Raw genomic sequence first — 27,266 nt, 5'->3', positions numbered from 1 at the left:
TTCCCACTCTCCTGCAGCTGAGGACCCATCCCTTGACTTGGGCCCCCTGGAGGCAAGAACATGGTCACCCACTTTAATCACATGGTCCCTATCACATAATCAGAGGGTGCTGTGGGTTTTAACTCTTCAAGCTTGATGTGTAAAGAATTCGACATAAATATGATATAGTGACTAGAAGTATTTTATTTATTTATTTTGAGAGAGAGAGTCTCTGTTGCCCAGGCTTGGAGTGCAGCGGCACAAACAATCAAACAATAACCAAAATCCAGAAGACTGAAAAAGTCAAATGCTGTCAAGGATGTGGAGCAACAGGACCTCTCATTCCTTGTTTGTGGCACAATCAGTTTACTGTACCCACGAACTCCAGGGTGCAAGTGATCCTCCCACAATCTATCTCCCAAGTAGCTGGGGCCACAGACATGCACCACCATGCCTGGCTGATTGGTTTTATTTTTACAGAGATGAACGTTCTCTGTGTTGTCTAAGCTGGTCTCAAACTCCCGGGATCAAGCGATCCTCCTATCTCGGTCTCCCAAAGTGCTGTAAGTACAGGCATGAGGTCCTGCACCCAGCCTGGAAGTCTTTATAGATAAGTTCAATTTAACTGTTTCTCCATCTGCTCTACTCAGCCAAGTTTCCCTCTCAGTCCAAGGGAGAGAACTGCAGCTCAGTCCCATCCAGGATGGCTGCAGATTACCCAGCGCCACCGCCATACTCCAGATGCTGCTCAACGAGGAAGGGATCCTGAGGCCTGGCAGCTGGCGCTCTCAGCAACCTTGAAGCCCTCTAAACGGGACGGGCCATCCGTGCCTGTCAGAACTGTAGCCACTACCTGCACTTGGCACACAGGCAAATACGGCCAAGCAACCCCAAACTCCCCTCTTCCCCTCTGGGCCCAGGCAGCGCTGAACCTGCCACTCAGCTCCATCCTGGCGACTGCACAGTCCCCAGAGCCTGCAAACCAGCACTCAGGGCGCGAGCCAAGGAAGAGCAGGGCCTAGAGTGGGAGGGCGTGTGCCACTCAGTGACCCTCAGACCATCGGGCCCAGCCCTGCAGCTTCTACCATGGGCTCAGCTGCAGCTGGCATTTGAAGGTGGCAACAGCAGTGGCAACCCCAGAACATGTCCGCCCCACCAGCAGGCGAACCCCAGGGTCGGACAACGCCACTGCACCTAAGTCAGGCAGTGGGACCTCAGTTGCAGGAGGGTGGGAACCTGCCGCAAAGCCTCATGGCCGCAGCTGTACAGGGCCCAGTGGTGGCGAGCCTGCACTGCCAGTGCGAGCTGAGGAAGAGCAGAGCCCCGGGTGGAAGGGCGATGTACTCGGCAATGCTCAGTGGTCTGGGCCCAGCTCTGTAGCCTCTACCATGGGCTCAGCTGCAGCTGCCACCTGGCAGCAGAGGCTGCAACCCCGACCCTGCCAGCGCCACCAGCAGCATGGATACTTGGGCCAGAAGCCTCCAGGGCGCCTAAGTCAGTGGTTGGGTCCCTGGCTGCAGGAGGGCGGGAACCGACGCTCAGCGCCACCACAGAGGCTGCACGATGCCCAGCACCAGGGCCCAGCTCCTGGATCTCAGGTTGAGGAGGGGCCAGGGGCGGCTCTGTCAAGCAGGCCGTGTGGCAGGGAGCCCCCCACGTTCCGCTCCAGGGAGCCCCGCCAGCCCGACAGCACCTCAGTGGCAGGTGCCACCTGCACGCGGTGCTGGGCGAAGCATAGCCCGGGCGGTTTCCCGCCTCGCCTGTCTCCCCGGTCTGCTGAGTTGCGCATGCTCTGTTGCCTAACGGTTCTGCTCAGCTGCCTAAAGGTTCTGCTCAGCTGCCTAACGGTTCTGCTCAGCTGCCTAATGGTTTTGCGCAGCGATTTTCTCCCAGGAGAGGCTGGAGTGTCCAAAAGCTTGGCCCGACTGAGATTTCTACTGGTGTCAGGGCGGGTGCGGGGACTGAAGAAGGGCGAGGGCGAGCGGCGGGGACTGGGGAAGGGCGAGCAGCGGGAGGTGCGGGCTCTGTCTAGCAGGTGGCTGCAGCCATGGAGAGGCTCTCTGCCGCCGCTGTCAAGGGCCAGACGGGCCCGGAGCGCCGGAGCCCCTTCAGTCAGCTGGTCTACACCAACAATGGCTCTTACGTGATTCACCATGGGGATCTCAGGAAGATCCACAAAGCTGCCTCCCGTGGCCAAGCCTGGAAGCTGGAGAGGATGATGAAGAAGACGACAATGGACCTGAACATAAGAGATGCGAAGAAGAGGTACCAGACCGTGCCTGAGCCGGGGCTGCAGGAGGAGGAGGCGGCTGTGGGAGGATCGCCCCTTCAGAGTGGGGGCTGGGGGTCCTGGGGACGAGGGGAGCAGGTGGAGGAGTGGCGGGCAGCGGGGCGGCTGTCCTGGGCCCCGAGGTCTTGATCTTCTTCCCGGGCAGGCCCCCCAGGCCTTGGATGGGGGCGCCCTGCAGGGTGGAGGGCCCAGGCCACCTTAAAATCAACCTCAAACTTTAGTTAGCTGCTTTCTCCTTCACTTCCACTTCCTCTCACAGAGCACTGTGTAGAGAATTTTAAAGTGATTTAACTTACAAAATTAAGTACATACAGGGTTTTACTTTTAATGTACAGGTTTTAAAAGATAACGTTAGATACATTATGAAATGGTGCATAATGAAATAATTCCCATAATATATTAACTTCTTGGCTAAAAATTTTTTGGATAAAGTCCAGTATCCATTTCAATATCAATGAATGTCTATGTAAATATAATCTTTGCTGAGGGACCTTAGAAGGTAACTTTGAGGTGGGAAGATGGTTTATGTTTTCGAATTTAAGAAGACTCATTTTTCTCAAGATGCAAGTTCTTTATCAGTTTTACATAAACCAAATAAAATCATCAACATTTTAACATTTTTAAAATTACACACTCTGTCTTTTACTACTGTGATGACATTTAAAAATTTTTCTAACGGAGTAGAAAAGTCTTGCTCTTCTAGATTTCAAAATGTGCTATTAATTTGCACAAAATGGGCCACGGCCAGGCACGGTGGATCATGCCTGTAATCCCAGCACTTTGGGAGGCCGAGGTGGGTGGATCACGAGGTCAGGAGATCAAGACCATCCTGGCTAACACGGTCTCTACTAAAAATACAAAAAATTAGCCGGGCATGGTGGCGGGCACCTGTAGTCCCAGCTACTCGGGAGGCTGAGGCAGGAGAATGGTGTAAACCTGGGAGGCGGAGCTTGGAGTGAGCCGAGATCGCACCACTGCACTCCAGCCTGGGTGACAGAGCGAGATTCCGTCTCAAAATAATAATAAATAAATAAATAAATAAAATTTGAAAAAAGAAAAAAAAAAGTCCAGGCGTGCTGGCTCATGCCTGTGGTCCCAGCACTTCGGGCGGCCGAGGCGGGTGGATCACCTGAGGTCAGGAGTTCAAGACTAGCCTGGCCAATATGGTGAAACCCCGACTCTACAAAAATACAAAAATTAGCCAGGCACGATGTCGGTAGCCTGTAAGCCCATCTACTCGGGAGGCTGAGGAGCGAGAATCGCTTGAAACTGGGAGGTGGAGGTTGCAGTGAGCTGAGATCCCATCACTGCACTCCAGCCTGGGCGACAGAGTGAGACTGTGTCTCAAAAATAAATACATAAATCACAAATTCTTTGATAACAGCTGAAAAGACAGGTAAATGAATACAACAGAGTAGAAAATCCAGAAACACCCGAATATCTAAGAATTTAGAACTTGATAATGCTCACACTTTATACTAGTAGGGAAAGAATAGTTTCATAAGGGAAATGCCTGCTTTTTGAAGAAAACTAGATTTTTATGCCACAAAGTAAATTTCTAACGGAATATAGATTAATTTTTTTAATATACAAAATGATAAAAGCACCAGAAGAAAACATAAATGCCTATTTACACAGGTACATTTTTATGTTGACAACACCTTTCTAAGAAGCTCAGAAGCAAGCAGTCTGAAGGATAATTAAGCAAAACAAAATTAAATTAAACTGTAATGAGAAAAAATAAAAGGCCGCATACTTGTAAAATATTTACTACACATGTATGTGCGTGTGTGTATACATATTAGATTTAAAAATCGTCCTTTTATAGATAATTCACTTAAATCAACAAAAAACCCTCTAATTTAAAATTGAGCAATTTAAATTAGAGATCTAAATTGCAGGTCTAAAAATAGTACTTTGCTTCTAATTTAAAATTGGAAAAGTATTTTCTTAAGATCTGCAAGTGACCTATGCACACAGAAAACAATATTTAGTGTTCCTGGTTACAGAAGGCATTTAAGTTAAAAGAGGAATCAAACACTGCTTTCTATCTACAAAGTTTATGAGGAAAAAGAGCAGTGATATTTACACTGCTGTTTAAAGTTTAAGTTGCAGATAACTTTTCAAATAGACAATTTGGTGGTAAGTACCATATTATTAAGAAGAATCCATATAATGACTTTTATAAATACATTTCAGTGAATTTACAGCATGGGATAATATGTGACCACTGAAGGTAGAAATATGTAGAGAAGTAGGTGACATTTGAAAATGTATTTTGGTGTATCAAGTGAGGGTAAAGTTCAGTTTGATTATACATACACACAGACTACAGTCTTGTGTTATCTGAAATTGTGTATGAAACCTGATAAAATTTGTTATTTGAGGGCATTTGTTTTAATATAAAATGTTTTTCCTTTTTATTATCTTTGATTTCCACATTGAGCATGTACAATGCTATTAGAAAAAGTTTATTATTAATGAAATAATTTTTGGGAAGAGCAGGAATATAATTTTGCACCAATGAAAATAATTTCTCACTTTCCATACTTTAATTTTTATTTTTTGTGGATTAGTATATTCTGTGAACTTTTAGCATCTTCAAAAGACAATCTTTTTACCTGTGCTTGTTGATTTACATATACATCTTATTAGACACATATTTTTATTATATATAGATTTATTACATATATGTCAATAATTATAGATTAATTAGTGTAGTTTTATTATTAAGAAAATAAAATAGAAAATATAAGTGCTTTATTTATAGCAGTTTTTTTAAGGTATTGAACTTCTCAACTGTATTTATCCTTTTAATCAATTTATCACATGTAAGCTGAATGCCTATTATGTAGAAGATACATTAACTCTCAAGATCCTTTCATCCTTAAAAATTTTACATTTACCTGCTCAGCCTTAGCAAAGTGAGAGATTTAAAGTTGGAGTACTAGGACTGAATCTCAATTGAAGCTTTTCCTCTCATCTTTAAAACAAAAACACTTCTGAAGTAAGAAACTAGTAAAACATAACTACCAACCATGATTTTGGAAATTTATAACAGCTTTAAATAGTAATATTAATCATTGGAAATACCTAATTTACATGCATTCTATAAATTTAAATATGAATTTACATACATTCTATAAATCTAAATATGGAATAAAATGATCCATACCTACTTTAATCCCAAGTTTTCTTTGGCTTGAAGTTTTAAAAATATTAAAGAAGTACTTTGTTTTAACAGTTTGTTTTTATTTCAACTCTCCTTTTGTGTAGCACTCTTAAAAGCTAAAATTTCTTTAAGTGTTAATCCTATGACTAGGACTGCCATCATCCTGTTGTATATACCATATGCCACTTCATGGAAGGCACCGTGAATTGTGTGATGCCTCCTTATTTATGTAACAATAAAAGATTGTTTAAATTTCTGCAGAATATACTTGTAACAAATAATGACTTATAAGTGGCATTTCAATGTCAGAGATGTTAAAATATGAGAAATAGAGTATCTTAGAATTATTAAACTACAGGTTTATCTCTAACCTTTAAAACATACCACAAAGTAGGCATAATTGTACCATTTTACTTAAAATGTTTTCTTTGTTAAGTAGTAGAAATAATTACAATATCTAACAATTACTGAGCTGTTACATGTGCTAGGAATTCTTTGAAAAACGTTGCACAGATTCTCATGAGGCATCACAGTGATGTCCTGTGAGATAACTGCTGTATTCATCTTCACTTTATTGATGAGAAAATTGAGGCACAGAAAGGTTAAGTGATAGCTAGAAGGTGAAAGACTTTAAAGTAATATTCAAGCCCATGTTGAACTGAATCAAAGGCCAAGCTCTTTCTATTCAAATAGGCCACTCTTTCATTAATGTAGTGAGTAATAAGAGCGAATGAATGTTGTACTTTCTTCAGGAGAATATTAAATATTTGTTTTGAAGGCAGAGAAAGAGCATGATATTTAATGTTGACAATTACATAAATCATTATATGTTTTGAGACAGTGGACTAAAATTTCCTAAAAAGTCCTCTCACTCTCGTAGGACTGCTCTACACTGGGCCTGTGCCAATGGCCACGCAGAAGTAGTAACACTACTGGTAGATAGAAAACGCCAGGTTGACGTCCTTGATGGTGAAAACAGGACACCTCTGATGAAGGTAAATTGTAGCCAGTTCTTTCAGCAGGAGATGGATTTGGTTTAAATACATAGAATAAAGATGAATTTATCTCATTGAAATATAATTAGTTTGTGAAACCTGTGGAATATTTATTTATATTTCCTATAATTTATAATTTACTTCTTGCTTTAATACTAACAGGCTCTGCAATGCCAGAGGGAGGCTTGTGCAAATATTCTCATAGATTCTGGTGCTGATCCAAATATTGTAGATGTGTATGGCAACACAGCTGTCCATTATGCTGTTTATAGTGAGAACTTGTCAGTGGTGGCAAAATTGCTGTCCTAAGGTGCAGACATCGAAGTGATGAACAAGGTAGACGTTAACCAATGCTATTTTCAAAATATTTGAAATCCATTTGTTTTAACATTAACATATGTAAATTGTTTTATATTTGGAAGCTCAAACATTCCTATTTTTCTATGAAAATAGTTTGACAAAACTTAATTGTCTAGGATTTTGCTTTAAATATTAATATTTTTACAAGAACTATTAGTATGGCTTTTCTGTGCATTATGATAAATATTTGAATTTGTTAAAGGTAAAACATTTTCAAATATTCTTTAGCACCCAAGTTTTTTTTTCTTTCCAGTTAGTGTAAAACTACAGGAAATTAAAATTTGCCTGCATAAATTGAGTCAACATGTAAAATTTCAGAGACATGCAGAAATCTGGATTTCTTCTTAAAGGATTGAATCTGGTGTCTCTTGAGCCCATATGACTGTTTGGTATGCTATGAAGACATTCTAGCTTTACATAAAGCATATGTTTCCAGTTTGCTACTGTGCCCACCTAGTTACATCACTTATTCAACTGACCTCTTTTGCCTCTGTAAATATTTCACTTATCAATTCCTCTCTCATAGTATATTTTGGTAAAGATTTCAAGTTATCAAAGACAGTTTATAGGTGTTTATAATATATAGTTTATATTTTACATTAATTCATTAATAATGGGGTAGTCTTCTAGAATTTAGAATATTTTTTAAATGATTATTTTTCTTCATATAAACCATAAATAATCATCTTCTATTAGAAGGCCTTTAAGCCTTCTTAGATTAATCATGGTTATATTTGAATAGGTTATGCATATTGCAGAAAATATTATATCTTTCTCCGCAGAATTGTCCCTTAAAATTCAAGTTATTTAGTGGCTTCTATTTTGCTAAGCCATATACATGAGTTAGAACTTTCATTAATAAGCCATTTTATTCATGCTTCTGATATTTTGCCAAAAAATAGTATCAATTACAATAGAAACCAGAATAAAAATGGATTATTGCATTTTAAGAAGTAGATATGCATTAGGATCCTAGGAGTATCATTATAATAGAGAATAAAATTTTATACTGAATTTCTTTCCTTTCTTTCTTTTTTTTTTTTTGAGACGGAGCCTTGCTCTGTCACCAGGTCGGAGTGCGGTGGTGTGATCTCGGCTCACTGCAATATTTGCCTCCCTGGTTCAAGCGATTCTCCTGCCTCAGCCTCCTAAGTAGCTGGGATGCAGGCATGTGCCACCATGCCCAGCTAAATTTTTTGTATTTTTAGCAGAGATGGGGTTTCACCATGTTGACCAGAATGGTCTCGATCTCCTGACCTTGTGATCTGCCTGCCTTGGCCTCTCAATGTGCTGGGATTACAGGCATGAACCACCTCACCTGGGCTTTTATACTGAATTTCTAATAGCTGAGATAAAATCCTATTGTCTGGTAATAGGATAAACCCCATGGACCATTTAATAATGAGCAATCAAAGTTTATTTGAAGCCAACCTCTTTTAATTTAGAGCCACTTCCTTATTGACCCATTTAGAGCAGAAGTGCCTGACATTGGCATTTGGAATCTTGGGATCATTGACAGAAGAGAATCAAGTGAGTTTGTATCACCCAGAGGAAACCTCCATTTTTGGGGGGAAGCTTTCAGAACTGCATCCCTGAAATTCTATTTGTCAAATGTTAATGTTTGCCACAAAAATATACTGTCAATAGGGATTAGGTAAAGTTCAATTCATTTCTTGAATAATGAACATTTAATTCACAGTTTTATAACATTTCTTGAACACAGATAATGGTGGAATCTGTTGGGGTACAGTGCTTCTGGTAAGGTAATTATTCTTTGGAATATAGTTGAAGAAACACTGTTCTAGAGGTAATAATTTAGATTACTAACTTAGTAAAAAATAAAATATTTACTACTATGTCTTAGGGTTTAATTATATAGAGGTAAAAGATACAGACCCTGCCCTCAAGAAGCTCTTGGTTTACATGGGAAACAATAAAATCATTACAGTATAATGATTTTTGGAGATAACCAGAGTTGATGTAGTGATGCAGAGGCTGAATGTTTACAAGAGAAGGTGCAGTACTACTATGCCATATACCAGTGAGACATGAGTCTTTTCACCCCTTCCTTTTAGCCTTGGTCGTGATTTACAAAGATAAACACTTGAGCACTCAAGATACTTAACATTTGTTAATACATGTAAATGGTTAATTCTACACTGACAGGCACATATTAAACTGGTTCTGTTCCTAATAATGAAGTTATCTCTTTGTGATTTTAGCACAGCCCTCATGCTTGCCATATGCCATGGATCATCAGAGATAGTTGGCATGGTTCTTCAGCAAAATGTTGACATCTGTGCTGAAGATACGTGTGGAATGATTGCAACGTTATGCTGTTGCTTGTGGGTTTAATCTGTAAGTGTTTACATTTAAAGACTAGGTGAGATTTTATAGTTTGTTTCAGGTAGTTTTTGAATGACAGTGAGTTAGTTCACTTCATCAGCCAGAAACCAGGCAAAAAGCTATACTAGTTAGAAGGAATAATGGCTCCAGGATTCTTTATTTTAGGGCTTTAGGGATGCTAATGTTGTCTACTTGATTTGAAGTATAACCCCTATGCATGGGATAAACATAATGTCACAATTTTGGTTTTTCTAATTAGTTATTTGGGTCTCAAAATGTCCACTTTAAGCAGAAAACCTGACAGTGTCCCCTGGGGGCTGTCTTCCATACCTTCATTCTTGAATCTTTTAAAAGAATCTGAACCTAAGTCCAAGGAAGACATTCTTTTTGTACAAGTCAGAAGGATTGGGGGGTTGGGAAATGGCCATTCTCTTTATTTTGTTGTTTCCATTGATTCTGTTGCTGCATCATTGCCATTGAAACTGCTTCTGCAGTCTGGTAATGATTGACCTTTGTGACCAGGATGCCCTTAGTAACGCAGATCTCTCAGTCTTCATGGTGTAGACTTCGAAGTTATTACATGTTTTTAAAGTTCACGTACATATTCTCAGCCATTGTTTCCAAAGTACCAGCACCCCACTCTGGCAGCTAGAACTTTTAGCTTTAGCCACACACATAGTGAGCAAATTGACCCTTCTTCTCACACTCAAAACCTGACATGAAACCCACATCTTAGCCTGGATATGGCCTAGACCTTCATGGTAAGTTATCCTTTGATTGGCTTTTTTCTATTTTCTCTAGCCAATATTAGTTGTGGTAGTTTGAAACTGTAACTCAGGTTGAAATAATGTTACAGGAAGAAATTAGAGATCCATTTTGTCTTTGTTACCAGATCTATATCTCTGGCCCTTTATATCCTGTGTAGCACCATTTTGTAGGTAGTGGAAGGTCTCACCTTATTCTGTAAAATCCCATGTCATCTTTCCCAAGTTGTAGTGGGTTCCAACTTGTGGTTGTCCCTTCAAGTGATTCTTTTTTCCTAAAAGTAAAAATCTCCCATGCTACTTACATCTCTACCTCGAGTTTTTTAAATATTTTCAAATGCTGCATCACCATGAAGCCATTCAATAGACTTCACTAAATCTCAAGTAAGTTGGTTAGATTTAACAGAGCTAAGCCTCATCCATCACTGATCAGTCTTCATGTATAAAAGTAAGGATTTGTGCTGGCTTCAGTGGTACATATAGTAAAATTGAAACAACGTTGAGAAGACCAGCATGGTCCCCGCACAAGGATGACATAGAAATCTGTAAAGTGTTGCATATTTCTTGCAGTCCCCAAAAGGACATTTTACTCCTTTCTAACTAGCTCCAAGGAAATGGTGTGAGTCAAAGCAAAATGGGTGACACCCAGTATTGCAATTGTGATTTTCATACAAAAAAATATTTATGTAAGGTGATCTATGAAATGAGATGTGGTAACACATAGGATCTTGTGTGCAATATTTTGTTAGTAGGGATCTCAGAAATGAGAAAATACCAACTTGCATCTTCTTTGTGGAACTTACAAAAAATAAAGGTAGCGTTTTGTCTTCCACAGCAGCTGGAAATGAACATAGTGACTAAGCATCATTCTAACAAAGATTTGTTGGTTCAGAGTTTAAGGAGGTAGATAAAGAGTAGCAGTAGTCCAAGCCAGATGCTGACATCTATTATTTTCTGCCCTTGGTGTGGCTGATGAGCTCAGTAATAGAGTATAATTAGGTTATCTGATTTAATGATTTAATATATTTATAAATAAATTTCATTACAAAATATAAAATAGCTTAGATGCTCTGAATTACAAGCCACAAAGAATAGAACATCTAATATCCAAAAGTAGGAATTAATAACAGAAAATTGCAATATTTGAATATTATAACCTATGAAGAAACACATTTGTTTTTTCTTTTTTTTGTAATTTAATTTTTGTAAAGACATGGTCTCCCTATGTTGTCCACGCTGGTCTTGAACTTCTGGACTCAAGCAATCCTCCTATCTCAGCATCCCAAATTGCTTGCATCACAAGCATGAGCCACTGCACCAGGCCAATATATTGGGTTTTATTGGGAATTTTAAAATAGTTTCAGCAATAAGGTTCAAGAACAAATTATTTTTTTGCTTCACTTTTTATTTTAAGAATTTTAAAAATGTTATCTTGTTAAATCTTTATAATAACATAGTGAAATAAGGCCCTAAAATCCTCATTGTTAGAAGACATTGAGTCTAAGGAAGCAACTTGTTCAAGAAAAAATACCTGTTGGTAGCCATGCTAGGATTTATTCTGAGTTAAGGACATTTTTCATATGTCAAGCTACCTCTAGTTAATTTACTAAGTTACACTGCCCTCACTTCATGAGTGTTTTATCTTTCTTCTTCTCTAGCCTGGGCGACAGTGCGAGGCTCTTGTCTCAAAAAAAAAAAAGGAGAAAACAAAAGTTTGGTAGTGTTTAAGGAAAGCAAGCTGAATGAGTAGAAGTTTTCCAGGTAAAGAGTCAGAAGGATGATATTTAGCAGAAGGAAAATTTAACCAGACTGTGTGTTTGGCAGAAGGAACATCTGAAGGAACACCTGACGAGGCTGCACCCTTGGCGTAAAGAACACCTGACATGGCTGAAAGCTTGGTGGAAAGAACACCTGAGGAATAGGATACAGCGAATTCCTTTTCAAAGATTTTAGCCTGTAAAAATCCTTTAAAATTCAAGAGGGGGAAGATTAAGTACAATGAGTTCTGAGTTCCTCATCAAAGAGTAAATATGTCAGTATGTTCAGCTTCTCTGTTCTTTGTTCTCCGTTTTAAAGTTTAACTTCCTCATTATTTATGCCTCCTTGCCCCTAGTTTCATTAAACAACCCCCTTCTAGCCTCTAACACCTGTTTTGTCTTTAGTCATTCTTAGTCACCTGCTCTGTCCTCAGTCATCCTTAGACACCTGCTCTGTAACTGTCTTTCCCGCTGAAAGTACACACCCTGCCACTCCAGCTCATACTCCTGCTCTCTTTGAAATAGCCCATCTGAATTAGCTAAGAGTGTGCAGTCCAACCCTATCCAATAGGGAAAAGACACAACAGTAGGGACTAGCTGCATTAGGAATAAGAACACTTTCCCCTCCCTTGTTCAGTATGATCTTGCCATTGCTCCATCTGCAAGACCACTCTTTCATAGAAGTAAATTTGCCTTGCTGTAAAAACTTGTTGCTGGAGTGCTGACTGTTCTTTGTTTCACTGAAAATTTATTTTCCACAAATGTGGGGGCCCACCCAGCATTCCCATTCTCCTCTGGGGGAGGGTCCAGTCCTCTCCTGTGAGGAGGCGCACCCCGCTGCCTCGTTGCAGTGGCCATAAAGGTAAGGAATCAAGACTCAGCTGGTGCGATTGATAAACCTGGGCTCTCAGCAACGTGGAAAGAAACAGGCCAGCATCTTTGGGGAAAGGATCTTCACATACCGTGGCGACCAGGTAACTGTGCACAGACCGAGGTAAGAAATGTCGCAGGGGTGACAAAGTATTTCCTTGGTGGTCAGGATATTCTGGAGGTCGAAAGTGTGTGTGAATGATCACAAGCACTACTGCTTGTGTTGCTGTTTGTGTAGATGATACTAAGCATTATTGCTGTGAGGAGTGAGTGGGTCCTATCTGCGGTTTTTTTATTTGAACAAAAAACCTTTGAAGAGGAATTCAGTGTATCCTCATAGGGCTCAGGGCAGATCCTGCTGTGAGGTTTATACCATGATGCGAATGCTAAGAGGGACCTAAAATTCCTGGGAGAGAAGCAACCAGAGTGGATGAAGCGAAAGAAGCGTGCAAGGAGCCTCCAGCAGGTGGCGTTAAAGGATAGGGAAGAAATCTCTAGCATGTGGGATTGAGCCTAACCAGGACCTAACATGGGAAAAGCCCCAAGAAAGACAGGGCGCAAAAAAGAAGAGGATAGTAACAAAGACATGCCCCCTGATAGTCCCCTGGGTCTCATGTTAAAATATTGGAAGCATAATGAGAGGACTAAACATAAGAAAAAGCATTAGAGGATAAAATATTGCTGTTTCATTTGGACCCAAGGTCCCATTTTCAAACCCTCAATCTTCTGGCCAAAGTTTGGGTTGAATGAGGATGTAATGTGTCAACTTCTAATTCAATATGTTAATGATAAAAATCTGGTTTCTCAAGAACTAGATTATGGAGACAGGGACCTGTCTTTATTCCCTTAAAGACAACTAGGGAAGAACCCGATCCAGCATCTCAAATTGAAAAGTCAGATGAGCTGACTCCCACACCTAAAGCCAGCACATGGGATTCCCTATACCATTTTGCCCTGCTCAGTGCCTCTGTCCCTTCCCCTCGGGCAGCTGTTGCCACCCCAGATCCCACCCCAGATCCTTCTCCTGCTCAAGCTGTTCCTCCTCCTTACATCTAATTCTTGGGAGTTATCATCCCATGAGCCTGTCCCCTGTCAACCTAAATACCTCTCCCTAAAGGGACTCCAGCATGAGGTACAGCAATGTAAAAAGGACATTCAGAACTTCCCTTTTCTCTCCACACATAAGGAGTCAGAACCAACTCTCTTCCCCTTAAAAGACATGCCACTAGGAGGAGGAGCCATTGTATTTGTGAATGCTCTCTTGACCAGTTCAGAAGCCTGAAGTTTGAAAAAGGAAATTAAGCCATTGTTAGACGACCCTTATGAGGTGGCAAATCAGGTTGATCAATTCTTGGGACCTCAGTTATACACTTGGGTCGAGTTTATGTCCATCTTAGGCATCCTCTTTTCGGAGGAGGAAAGAAGAATGATCTGATCTGTAGGGCTGCTAAGGCAATTTGGGAATATGAACACCCTCCTTGTCAAAACGTTCCTACCACGGACCAAAAATTCCCTGCCCAAGATCCCCAGTGGGATAATAAAAACACAGCTCACCAAGAAAACATGCAAGACATAAGGGAAATGATAATGAAAGAAACTAGGGATTCAGTACCCCAAACTCAAAATCTCTCTAAAGCATTTGATATACAACAGGAGAGAGATGAGTGGACTATGAAATTCCTAGACAGACTAAAGGAGCAAATGAGACAATATGCAGGCCTAAATTTGGAAAATCCCCTGGGACAGGGAATGTTAAAGCTCCATTTTGTCACTAAAAGTTGTCCAGATATTTCCTTTTATTTTTTTGAGATGGAGTCTCTCTCTGTCACCCAGGCTGGAGTGCAATGGTGCGATCTTGATTCACTGCAAGCTCTATCTCCCAGGTTTGCTCCATTCTCCTGCCTTAGCCTCCCGAGTAGCTGGAACTACAGACGCCCACCACCACGCCCAGCAATTTTTTTGTATTTTTAGTAGAGACGGGGTTTCTCCGTGTTAACCAGGATGGTCTCAATCTCCTGACCTCGTGATCCACCCACCTTGGCCTCTCAAAGTCCTGGGATTACAGGCATGAGCCACTGTGCCTGGCCAACATTGTCCAGATATTTCAAAAAAGTTACAAAAATTAGAAGATTGGGAAAACTGACCTCAAGTGAACTTCTCAGAGAGACTCAAAAAGTATCTGTAAAGAGAGACGAAGAAAAGCAAAAACAAAAGACAAAACTTATGTTATTCACCTTCTAACAGATCGCTCCAAACCCATGTACCCCTAAACAAAGCTTCCAGTGGGCCAGAAACTATAAAGGTTCCAAACCCTCCTTTAAAGGACCCAAGCCTCCATTGGGAGGATCAAGGCTCTCATCTACCAGGCCATCTAAATAGTATGGGGGAGTAAAATCAAAGAATCCCAGAACTGAGAGTGAGGAAGGGCAAGGTAGGCACTACAAATGTGGAAGAACAGGCCACTTCAAGAGAGAATGTCCCAAATTAGAAAAGGAAAAAGAAGCCCTTCCACTCATGGCTTTTGAGGAAGAATAATGGGGTCAGGGGTTCTGTCTCTTTTATCTTGAGTTCCACCAGGAGCCCTTGATAAGTCTAGAAGTGGGACCTAAGCATGAGTTTATAACCTTTTTAGTCAATTCAGGAGTGGCTCGATCCTCTGTTTGTTTTCCCCCCATCTAAATTGCCTGCTCTTCAGAGGAACTTTTGGTTTGTGGGGTAAAGGGAGAAGGATTTAAAGCAAAAATTTTAGAAAACACAGCAGTCAGATACCAGGCTCAATCAGCTCATATTCAGTTTTTGTTAATCCCTAAAGCAGGGACTAATTTACTAGGGAGGGATTTAATGTTGAAGTTAGGCATAGGCCTGCAGCTCAGCCCAAGAGGATTCCTCACTTCATTAAAGCTACTCACCACTGCAGATGAAAAATATATTAATCCTAATGTCTGATCCAAAGAAGGAAACTGAGAGAAACTCTGAGTCCCTCCAAGCACATGAAGCTAAAAATCCCCAGGGAAGTAGTAAGGAGGAAACAATACCCCATTCCCCTAGAGGGCAGGATAGGGTTGAAACCTATAATTGAAGGTCTTATTAAAGATGGGCTTCTTGAGCCCTCTATGTCCCCTTATAACACCTCAATATTGCCAGTCAAGAAATCACATGGGTCATACCGGCTGGTACAAGACCTTAGGGCTATTAACCAAATAGTCCAAACTACCCACCCCATTGTCCTCGATCCTTACAGCATTCTCAGCAAGATTCCATATAATAATCAATGGTTTACTGTAATAGATTTGAAGGATGCTTTTTGGGCATGTCTCCTGGCAGAAGATAGGCCAGATATATTTGCTTTTGAGTGGGAGGATCCCCATTCAGGGTAGAAACAATATCGATGGATAGTCTTACCCCAAGGGTTCACAAACTCCCCTAACCTTTTCAGTCAAATTTTAGAACAAGTATTAGAAAAAGTTATCATCCCAAACAAATATGCCTGCTCCAATACGCTGGTGAAGATATAGAGAAGGTAGCTGGCTTCTCTACACATATTCTCAACCATCTGCAGTTCGAGGGGTTATGAGTCTCAAAGGGAAAGCTTCAGTATGTAGAACCTGAAATTAAATATTTAGACCACTTGATAAGTGCAGAGAAGTGAAGAATAGGGCCTGAACGAGTTGAGGGAATCGTGTCCCTACCCTTGCCTCAAACTTAAGAACTCAGGAAATTTTTAGGGTTAGTTGGATACTGCTGCTTATGGATTAACTCACATGCACTAAACAGTAAAATTCTATATCCAAAACTTTCCCAGGGGAAGACTGACCATTTCCTGTGGATTTCTGAGGAAGTCGATCAGGTTGAAGAGCTGAAAAAAAGGCTTATAACAGCCCCTCTCTTAGCCTTACCTTCCCTAGAAAAGCCATTCCACCTTTTTGTCAATGTGGATAATGGGGTAGCTTTAGGAATGCTCACTTAAGAACACGGAGGCCATCGGCAGCCCATGGTGGCCTTCCTGTCAAAAGTCTTAGATCCAGTTACTTGTGAGTGGCCTCAATACATCCAATCCATTGTGGCTACAGCACTAATGGTCAAAGAAAGCAGGAAGTTAACCTTTGGAGGAAAATTGACAGTAAGAATGCCCCATCAAGTTAGAACTATCTTAAACCAGATAGCAGGGAGGTGGCTTACTGACTCAAGAATCTTAAAGTATGAGACTATTCTGTTAGAAAAAGATGATTTAACATTAACCACTGATAATTCCCTTAACCCAGCAGTTTTTCTAATAGGGGATCCAAATCTAAAGAGATAGCACACATGTTTAGATTTAACTGATTACCATACAAAAGTCTGACCAGACCTAGGAGAAACTCCCTTCAGGATGGGATGACACTTATTTATAGATGGTTCTTCCCAGGTGATTGAGGCAAAAAGATGCAATGGGTATTCAGTAATTGATGGAGAAACTCTTGAAGAAATTGAGGCAGGAAAATTGTCTAAGAATTGGACTGCCCAAACTTGTGAGCTGTTTGCACTCAGCCAAGCCTTAAAGTACTTGCAGAACCAGGAAGGAGCCATCTATACCAATTCTAAGTACGCCTTTGGAGTGGCTCATACATTCGGAAAAATTTGGACTGAACGAGGTCTCATTAATAGTAAACGTCAAGATCTTTTTCATAAGGAGATATTCACCCAAGTATTGAATAACCTTCAGTTGCCAGAAGAAATAGTGACTGTCCATGACCCAGACACCAGAAAAGTCTTTCTTTTGACAGTCTAGGAAATAACCCAGCAGATTACATAGGCAAACAGGCTGCCATTTCTTTTAAAACATCTATTTTTCACTGAACTCTTTACCTTCTTCCTCCTAACATAATCTCCATTTTCTCTTCCACTGAAAAGAGAAACTAATAAAAATAGGTGCTAAGGAGAATTCAAAAGAAAAATGGATATTGCCAGACCAGAGGGAAATGTTGTCCAAACCCCTTATGAGGGAAAACTTGTCCCAACTGCATCAAGGGACCCACTGGGGGTCCCAAGCCATGTGTGACACTGTTCTGAAAGTTTTTGGGTGTATAGGAATTTATACTCTGGCCAAACAGGTTACAGAGAGTTGCTTAGTATGTAAGAAAACTAATTAACAAACTATAAAAAGATTACCCCTTGGGAGAAGGAGTCCAGACTTAAAGTATCCAGATTGATTACACAGAGATGCCTCCAATAGGTCGTCTAAAATATTTACTAGTGACAGTAGATCACCTTACTCACTGGGTCAAAGCTATTCCCTTTTCAAATGTGATGGCCAATAATGTAGTTAAGGCCTTAATTGAAAATATAGTGCCCAGGTTTAGGCTAGTAGAAAACATTGACTCAGAAAATGGAACCCATTTTGCCTCAAACTGTTACATTTGATGCTTGCCTTGTTATACCTTGTGGAGCCTTGTCAGGTCAAAGACAGCTCTCCAATTCAGAAAAGTACCTCTGTACTTCCTGGCTGTCCTCAGACTGGACATTAGTGAATTTGGATCATTTAGTCTGGGAAAGTTTCAATGAAGACCCCAGTGTCAACTGGGAGTTTTGCCCCCTTGACACAGAGCTTTTATGACGTAGTTGGTCCAACTACATGCAAGAGAGAGCAAGGATGGCTGCCCCAACCAGTAGTTGTAATTTCTAAAACCATACCTTCATTTTACTAAAGATATAGCTCCCCCTAACTTTCAGGTAAACTAGTGCAACTCAATACAGGTTATTATTTCAAACCTTCAAAGTTCTTCCCCTTCTCTAAACCAATTCCCTTCTTTAAGCTGGTTTTATGATATGGGAGCTGAGTTTTCAGAAACAGACCCTATTGGTTCTTTGAAATATGCTTCATTTCTCCCCTACTGCTTACAGCTTCCCCTAAGTCTTCTTCCAAAAACTCTCACAATGAAACTGTTGTTCCTCCTCCATCTAATGAGAAGACCAAGGTAGCTATTGTAAAAGTTAAAGACCTAAAACAAACTTTGGCAACTGAGACAGGATATCAAGATGTGAATGCCTGGTTGGAATGGATCAAATACTCCATTCGCACTTTAAACAAAAGCAATTGTTATGCTTGTGCACACAGCAGACCAGAGGCCCAGATTGTTCCCTTTCCACTAGGATGGTCCTTCAGTCAACGAGGCATGGGCTGTATGGTAGCTCTTTTCCAGGGTTCCACAGCCTGGTGTAACAAGTCATGTCAATCTCTCTCTCTGCTATATCCCAAAGTTCAACACCTTGCAGGTCAGCCCCCAAGGACCATCCAGCTTCCTTCTCCTGACACTAAGTTCACTTCATGTCTCTCACAACAAGGAGGAAACTTAGCTTTGCTTGGAAACCTAAAAGATGCAGTAAGCTTAAGACTTTCCAAGAGCTTACCAATCAGTCAGCCCTTATACAATCCTGAGAAGATTTATGGTGGTATTGTGGTGGATCTTTACAGGACACTCTGTCAAGTAACTGGAGCAGCGCTGGTGCTCTAGTCCAGTTGGCTATACTTTTCACTCTGGCATTTCATCAACCAGAAAAAGGGAAAACACAACATAGTAAAGCAAGGGAAGTCCTTTATGGGTCTTTTGACTCCCACATTTATTTAGATGTTATTGGAATCCCATGAGGAGTACCAGATATATTTAAGTCCAAGTTCAAATAGCTACCGGATTTGAATTGATATTTTGGTATGTGACAATAAAAATGTAGATTGGATAAATTAAATCTATAATAATCAACAGTGGTTTATTAATTACACCAGGGGTGTTGTCAAAGGAATAGCGGAACAATTGAGGCCCACTAGCCAGATGGCCTGGGAAAACAGAATGGCCCTAGTTATGATATTAGCTGAAAATGGTGGTGTTTGTGTTATGATTAAAACTCAGTGTTGTACCTTTATCCATTGGGGGCAAACAACACTGCCCCCAATGGGAGCATAACAAGGGCCCTACAAGGATTTACCACTTTATCCAATGAATTAGCTAAAAATTCTGGAGTCAATAACCCTTTCTCAAGATGGCTAGAAAGGTGGTTCAGTAAATGGAAAGAAATTGTAGCCTCAATTCTTACTTCTCTTACAGCAGTAATTGGTGTACTCATTCTTGTTGGGTGTTGTGTCATACCATGCATCCATGGGCTAGTGCAAAGGCTTATAGAAACAACACTTTCTAAAACCTCCCTTAGCTGTCCTCCACCTTATTCAGATAGGCTTTTCCTTTTAGAGGATCAAGTTGAAAAAAAAAATCCAAGACATGCTAAAAAGGTTTGAAGAGGAAGGGCTATAAAAATTGAAAGAGGCAATTGTAGAATACAGTGAATTACTCTTCAAAGGTTTTAGCCTGTTAACATCCTTTAAAATTCAAGAGAGGGAAGATTGTTAAGTACAGTGAGTTCTCATTTCCTCTTCAAAGAGTCAATAAGTCAGTATGTTCAGCTTCTCTGTTCTTTGTTCTCCATTTAAAGTTTAACTTCCTCATTCTTTATGCTTCCTTGCCCCTAGTTTCAGTAAATGACCCCCTCCTAGTCCCTATCACCTACTCTGTCCTTAGTCATTCTTAGTCACTTGCTCTGTTCTTAGTCATCCTTAGTCACCTGCTCTGTAACCGTCCTTCCTGAGGAAACTACCCACCCCGCCACTCTGGCTTGCACCCCTGTCCTCTTTGAAGTAGCCAGTCAAAATTAGCTTAGAGTGTGCAGTACAACCCTATCCAATAGGGGAAAGATACAGCAGTAGGGACTATCTGTATTAGGAATAAGAACCCTTTCCCCTCCCTTATCCAGTGTGCCCTTGCCATTGCTCCATCTGCAAGACTCACCCTTCTATAGAAGTAAATTTGCCTTGCTGGAGTGTTAACTTGTTGTTGGAGTGCTAACTCTTCTTTGTGGCACCAAAAAGTTATTTCCAACACGAAGCTGCACCCTTGGTGGAGGGAACATCTGACGAAGTTCAATGTTTGGGGAAAACAATATCTGGAAAGATTGAAGAGTCAGCAGGAGAAACACCTAGGAAAATTACAAGGCCTGTGAAAGAAACATCTGAGAAATTTGCATGGCCACAAGAAAGACCTACAAAGACCACATGGGAGGAAAAAGAAACATCTGTAAAGACTGAATGCGTGGCAGGAGTAACATCTAATAAAACTGAAGTTTTGGAAGAAGGAACATCTAAGATGATCACATGTCCTACAAAAAAACAGCTACAAAAGCAAGTACACATGGTAAGATGCTTGAGTGAACTTTGTAGAGTTTATTGGCACTTTGGGTTCCCTAGTGGAAATAGTGTGGTATGGGAGTAGTCGGGAATGGCTTGAATGTCTAGATAAGGCAAGCTTGGGCAACACATTTTAATAGTGTAGAAATGAGTAGATCTTATTCTATAGGCCCTGGAAAAATTCCCAGAATACTTCTGGCTGTAAATATTAGATGAACTAACTAACAATTGCTAAAACCATAGAAACCAAAGTTTTTTTGGTGGTACAGGGATATTATAGGATCTCACTCTGCCCCCCACCCCCATTATTAGTTGTGCTATCGGCAGTGTTTTGTCCATGTCTCCTTTCTTGGTTGGCTAATTAGCAACAGCTCCAATCATCATGCTAACTCAAGACAATATCTGAAGGCTGGGGGTGCTGCTTTTGTTCACATTTTTTTTTTTTAAATAGGAAGAAAACTTGGAAGCTTGCAGTAATCTTCCTGTAACATTTTATTGGCTGGATTATACCACATGCTTATTTCTATACCAATCACTAGGAAAGCAAATGTAATTACTGTGATTAGCTTAGAATAATGATTTTTCTTTTAAGACTGGATGGGGGTAATGGAATAGTAAATATCTAAATGAACTTGTGTTTCTACAGCAATAAAGAATAAATAATGACTATGCATAGGAAGCCAGCAATGTTTTCTGCAGGAACACAGTGGAAAAGTTTGAGCAGGGGAATCACAAGATTAGATTTGAGTATCAGGGCATTCTGGTCATGGTATAAAGCAGAGATTGGCAAACTTTTCCTGTAAAGTGCCAGATAGCGAATATGTTGGGTCATGTGGTCTCTATTACAGCTATTCAACTCTGCCATTGTAGGGTGACAGGAGTCATAGATAATGGATGGGCAAAGAGGCATGATTGTACTCCAATAAAAGTTTGTATAAAAAACCATTTAGAAAGCTGAATTTGGCCTGTGGCCTATAGTTTCTGGCCCTTCATATAGAAGATAGATGGAGGATAATCACATAAAAAGATTTAAAGATGAAGTTTTTGTAGTAGTTCATGCGATGGTCTTTTTTTTTTTGTAACAAATCTGTGGCCTAGTATCAATCTATTATGAAAGTTTGATCCATCAAGGGTAAAATGAATCAAGTTCAGAAGCTCAATTTACACATTTAAACATGTAGGTCCTTCTTTGGCATTATTTTATTTTGATTAATTTTTTAACTTAAAAAATAAGAACAGTAATTTGTAGGGTTTCTTTTTCCCTGTGAAAGCCATCAGTTAAGGGGCCACGTTTAACTAGGAAATATAAATATAAAATAAATAAGTATGTATTTCCAGTGGCACTGGAAAGATAAAGCAAAGGCAGAAAAGAGGTGCAGTTAATATGGCTTAGTGATAATTGAGTTTAAAAAGCTAGGGGACAGATAAAATCTCAGGTCATTCATAAGTTTTCAGATTGTGCACAAGCATTTACAATGATCATGGGGAAGGAGTAGGAATTTCTCAGGTTAACAGAGAAGTGCAAACAGTCATGAGACAGACCAACAGTTTTCTTTACATATTGAGTTCAACGAAACATTCTTGTGGGATACTTTCAGTAGGCAATTGGATTATATGCATTTCTAGCTGGAGATAGAACTCTGCTTGAAGATGCAGGCTTAGAATACTTTTATTATAATTATTAGGCAAAGCCATAGATCTCAATGAGCTTATCCATGAGGCAGTAGATGTAGAATAAAAAGAAAGCCATTGACAAAACCCTGGGAATATCAACATTTCACAAGAGTCAAAGGACTTGGTAAAGGAGACTGAGCAGTGGTTAAAGAAACGTAGAAGAGGAGTCTGAGAAAGTGATGTTACAAATTTCTTTTAAATGTGAGAATTTCAAGCAGTAAAATTACTCAAAAGTCTACTGGATTTAACTTACAAGTTCTTCAGTGGTAATCTGTTCAAAAGAATTATTTTAGAGTTGTTAGGTATACTTTTGATGTGGTTGATATTTCTGGTATCCAAGAAGAAATCTCCCAAGATCCTACCTAACTTTTTGTAACTAAAGCAGCATACATACACAGGGAGTGGGAAAATGTCTAGACTGGTGAGTACACATGCCAACATTTTTCCAGAATTTTCTGCCTCCCTATACGGCTTGAGTAAGGGGTTTAGAGATTTTAGACTATACTTGGGAATTTGTCTATTTCTTTTGCAGTTCTGTCAATTTTTGTATCATGTATTTTGAAGCATTTATGTTATTATGTACATAAATATTTAGGACTGTTATGTTTTCTTGATTAATCGAACCCTTTGTCACTATAAAATGACATTGTATATTGCTGGTAATATTTTTGCTATGAAATGTACTTTGGTATTAATACAACCACTCTTCCTCAGCCTTCTTTTGTCAAGTGTTAGTGTGGTATATCTTGTTTCATCTTTTAACTAATTTTTGTCTTTATATTTAAAGTTTATTTCTTATATGCATTATACAGGTAAGACTTGCTTTTTTATCCATTCTGACAATCTGCCTTTGAGTAGAGGTTTTTAGAGCAGTTTAATTTATAATGTAATTATTGATATGATTAGAGTTGTCTGTCATCACACTGTTTGATTTCTATTAGTCCCAGATCTTCTTTGCTTTGCTTTTTTCCTTTTTCTGCTTCCTTCAGACTAGTTTAGTAATTTTTATGATTTAGTTACATATCTGTACATGCATAACTTTTTTAGTTATTAATCTAGTGTTACATTTCTTTATGATTTAGTCATATCTTTTTTGGTATAAGTTTATTTGGTATTAGGTATAACTCTTTGCTGTCCTAGTAGTTGCTTTGGGATTTATAGTGTATGAATTTACCTCATCACAATCCACCTTCAAGTAATATTATATCATATCATAGACGGTATAAGAAATTACAACCATATTTTCATTTCTTTTCTATCAGCCAGATCCCAGCCTAGATCTGTGGGATTATGGCTGTCGTTAAGTTTAAAACATATTTAGCCAATTTTTTTCTCAAGTTTTTTATTCTGCCTCTCCTCCTACCTCTTTGGGGACTTATATATTACCTGCTGGAAGTTTGCTCATAGTTCACTAGTGTCTCAAATTTGTGACTCTTTTATTTCATGATGGCGAATTAATCTATGCTCATATCTACTCAGTGCAGCTTTCATCTCCAGCATTGTAACTTGTATCTCTACAAGTGCAATTTGATTTTTAAAAGTATCTTCTACTGCTTTACTTATCTTCTTGAATTTTATGGTAGAATAGAGTTGAGTTACTTATAAAGAGCTTGATCCCTTTCATTTTTCTTTTTATGGTATGAGCTAACTCCCCATACCTGAGGCAAGGCCTTTCTGAGTATTCATTCTCCTGTGAAGTCTCAGTTTTCCCAGGCAAATCTATAAAAATAGATGCTCTTCTTGGCGCTGTGTGAGCACCAGTTGTGATTTCCTATAATTTTATAGGCCACCCCCCACCCCCACCTGGTTTGTTCTTAGGTAGTTTTCTAGCTCACATGCAATTTCCAAAATTTTGCTAAATATTGACAGGGGGTTTCTTGCCATTGATTCTGTATCTCTCTCTCCTCCTCAGTGTTTGTTCTGTAATATCTGTCTGCTTTGGTTTTACCAGACTCTAAGCTTCATCAATGTAACCAAGAGAGTCTGGTAGATCCCACCTCAGTTTTTTCTTCCTGTGTCATGTCTCGGAATCTCTGTCAAGGCAGGAAGCTGAAACATTCATAAGGTTTGCTTTCTTTCGTGTTTTTTTTTTTTTTCTCTTTTTCAGGGATTATTATCTCTTTGCCTAATGTCCAGTGTCTGAAAAATTGTTTACTGTATTTTGTGTGTTTTGATGCTAGTTATTTTAGCTATGAAGAAAAATCATACCTGTTGCTCTCCCTTGGCTAGAGGCAGACTACACTAGAGTTTCAGCACATGCCACAGACTGGCTAAAATGCTTTCCTTCCCTGTTTGCTCAACTGCTTCCTTTTCATTCTTCATTCCTCAGTGTAGCTATACGTTCCTCGGGGGAATTTTCCATGAGCCTAGTATAGATCTAATTCTTAGCAATCTGTTTTCTTACAGTATCTATCTGAATTTATAACTGTCACTTTTCTGGGGCTTCGTCTTTTAGTACATTTTAAGTTAAACAAAGGCAGAGGTTTTTGTTTTTTTCTGTTTAATCTGCAGAGCTTAGTATAATGCCTTCCACGAGGTAGGCAAACAATATATATTTGTTCAGTGTATGAATTAGTGATTTTTAAAATATGCAGTTCTTTATATCCCAAAAGTACTTATATATTTTATTTCTATCTCCTCCTGGAGACAGATTCAACTAGCCTATCAAAATTCTTGGATGCAATTCTTTCTTGTGAAAGAGCAAGGGAACTTAAAAAATATCCCTGTGAGCCAGGCGCCGTGGCTCACGCCTGTAATCCCATCACTTTGGGAGGCCAAGGCCGGCAGATCATGAGGTCAGGAGATCAAGACCATCCTTGCTAACACAGTGAAACCCCGTCTCTACTAAAAATACCAAAAAAATTAGCCGGGCGTGGTGACGGTTGCCTGTAGTCCCAGCTACTCAGGAGGCTGAGGCAGGAGAATGGCGTGAACCCAGGAGGCGGAGCTTGCAGTGAGTGGAGAACGCGCCACTGCACTCCAGCCTAGGCAACAGAGTGAGACTCCGTCAAAAAAAGAAAGAAAAAAAAATCCCTGTGAACAACTTACAGCAAAAATGAAACAAATGAAAAAAAAGCTTCGTGTACTACAAAAGGAACTATCAGAACCAAAAGAAATAAAATCATAGAGAATCAAAAAGTTAAAAGAGAACAAGAGCTCTGCAGTGTGAGGTATGACATACTAGTATATAGGATACTTTTAGTACTAGCTGACTTACCTTCTGAGGTTTAACTAGAGAAAGAAATCTCTGTCTTGTAGTGTCAAATCCATTTAAATAATACAAGTTATTAACTGTGAATACATCTCCTGATAATTAAATGCATATTTATTTAAATCACAATTTTAATGGCTACATAGAAGGCCATTATTTGGAAACCCCATTATTTACTTAAAAAATTATTTTTTTATTTTTAATTTTTTTGTGTTATAATAAGTGCTGCAAGGCATAATTGCATGTAAATCCTTTTCTACCATTCTAATTATTGACTTGGAATAAATTATTCAATATAAAAATATTTGGTTAAATTATAGGAAGTTTTAAGAAGTTCTTTGTTCATTACTTCTAAATTGTTCTCAAGAAAATTTATATTCATTTATAGTTCAACAAAGAGAGTGTGAAACGGCCATTCCACTACCCCCAATAATCATTTTCCTTTAATTATACACTTGTAATCTTAATATGCATGGAGTATAAAGAAAAATATAGAGTAATTTATGACTAGTATATTCAACATCTCTCTCTCTCCTACATAAATAAAATCAATTCAGAATTCTATGTTAAAAACACTTATTATTTTTATTTTTTAATTAAATATAATATTCTGTCTTATTCTAAAAGAGATTTAAAATTTGTTGATAAAATATAAAATAATCAACAAGATACATTTAAAGTATTACTAAAAAAAGAAACAAAAGATATATGGGATAACAGATATTAGATTCTTCAGCCTAGTCTCAGATTTTAATATTATAATTATGTTTAAGGATATTTGCCTTATTTTTTAAAGATGAATATTTATGTCTAATAAATATGTAAACTTGTTTATAAAAAGTAACGTCATTTTAATTAGTTAACTCTAAATGATCTGTCCTCATTGAGGAGTAATTTTGACTGTTATATTTTTAAAATAATAATTTTCAACTTATAACTTTACTGGATAGCTTCCAGTATTCTTTTCTGTAACAGTTGTTGAAGTTACTAGTAACAGAATCTTTCTAACTAGAAGATGTTTTTTTTTCACTATTTTTCAAGTATGTGTATCATTTGGAAGAGAGTTCAGTAATAAATTAAATACCTCAGAACTAGAAAGGAAAAACGTATTCAAGAATATAGGAATTTTATTGGAATAATAAACCAATATAGGAAGAAGTAGATCTCAAAGTGAATTCTATTTTCTAACAAAATGAATTTTAAGATAAGTATATTTAATGGCAGAGTGACTTTAAAACAAGAAGAGAAGAGAAGAAATGTCAATATATTAAATGAAAAAATTAGGGAAGAATTAGGAAAATTCGAAGAGCAGCAAAAGAAAAAGTTAGAAGTGAAGCAACTTGAACTCACTCTCCGAATGTACAAAATGTGGAATTGAAGACTGTAAGAAGTAATTTGAATCAGCTCAATCAATCACTGGTAAAAATTTTATATATTTCTAATTTTATTTCATCAATATTACTTTTAATATCCCTTCGATTTAGTATGTATTATTCAGAATTATGATAATGCCGCTATAATATTTAGGTACAAACTTTTGTATATTTCATTCAAAAGTTTTCATTTCTATTGGGTATGTACCTAGGAATGGAATTGCTGGGTCGTAAGGTACCTATGTATAACCGTTTCAGCAATCACC

General features: G+C 39.0%; 2 pseudogenes across 2 annotated transcripts in view; both read left to right on the top strand.

Moving 5' to 3' along the window:
• Nucleotides 1-1,793: 1,793 nt before the first annotated feature.
• LOC100132154 (ankyrin repeat domain 30B pseudogene) overlaps nt 1,794-27,266 on the top strand; it is a 102,646-nt pseudogene continuing 77,173 nt past the window's right edge. Inside the window, exons 1-6 of one of the 2 annotated variants that reach the window (XR_007061544.1) lie at nt 1,794-2,244; nt 6,322-6,436; nt 6,599-6,772; nt 9,019-9,154; nt 11,731-12,657; nt 20,313-20,749. The product of XR_007061544.1 is annotated as an ankyrin repeat domain 30B pseudogene, transcript variant X1 (transcript). Of the gene's footprint in view, nt 2,245-6,321; nt 6,437-6,598; nt 6,773-9,018; nt 9,155-11,730; nt 12,658-20,312; nt 20,750-27,266 lie in introns of those variants that run through there. The other variant, XR_001746679.2, reaches the window with a different exon arrangement.
• On the top strand, nt 10,365-10,471 carry RNU6-1293P (RNA, U6 small nuclear 1293, pseudogene; annotated as a pseudogene).

The sequence above is a fragment of the Homo sapiens genome, chromosome 9 (genome assembly GCF_000001405.40).
Source record: "Homo sapiens chromosome 9, GRCh38.p14 Primary Assembly".
NCBI classification, from domain to species: domain Eukaryota; kingdom Metazoa; phylum Chordata; class Mammalia; order Primates; family Hominidae; genus Homo; species Homo sapiens.
Note: the sequence above shows the minus strand (reverse complement) of the source record. Positions and strands in the feature narration are given on the sequence as shown.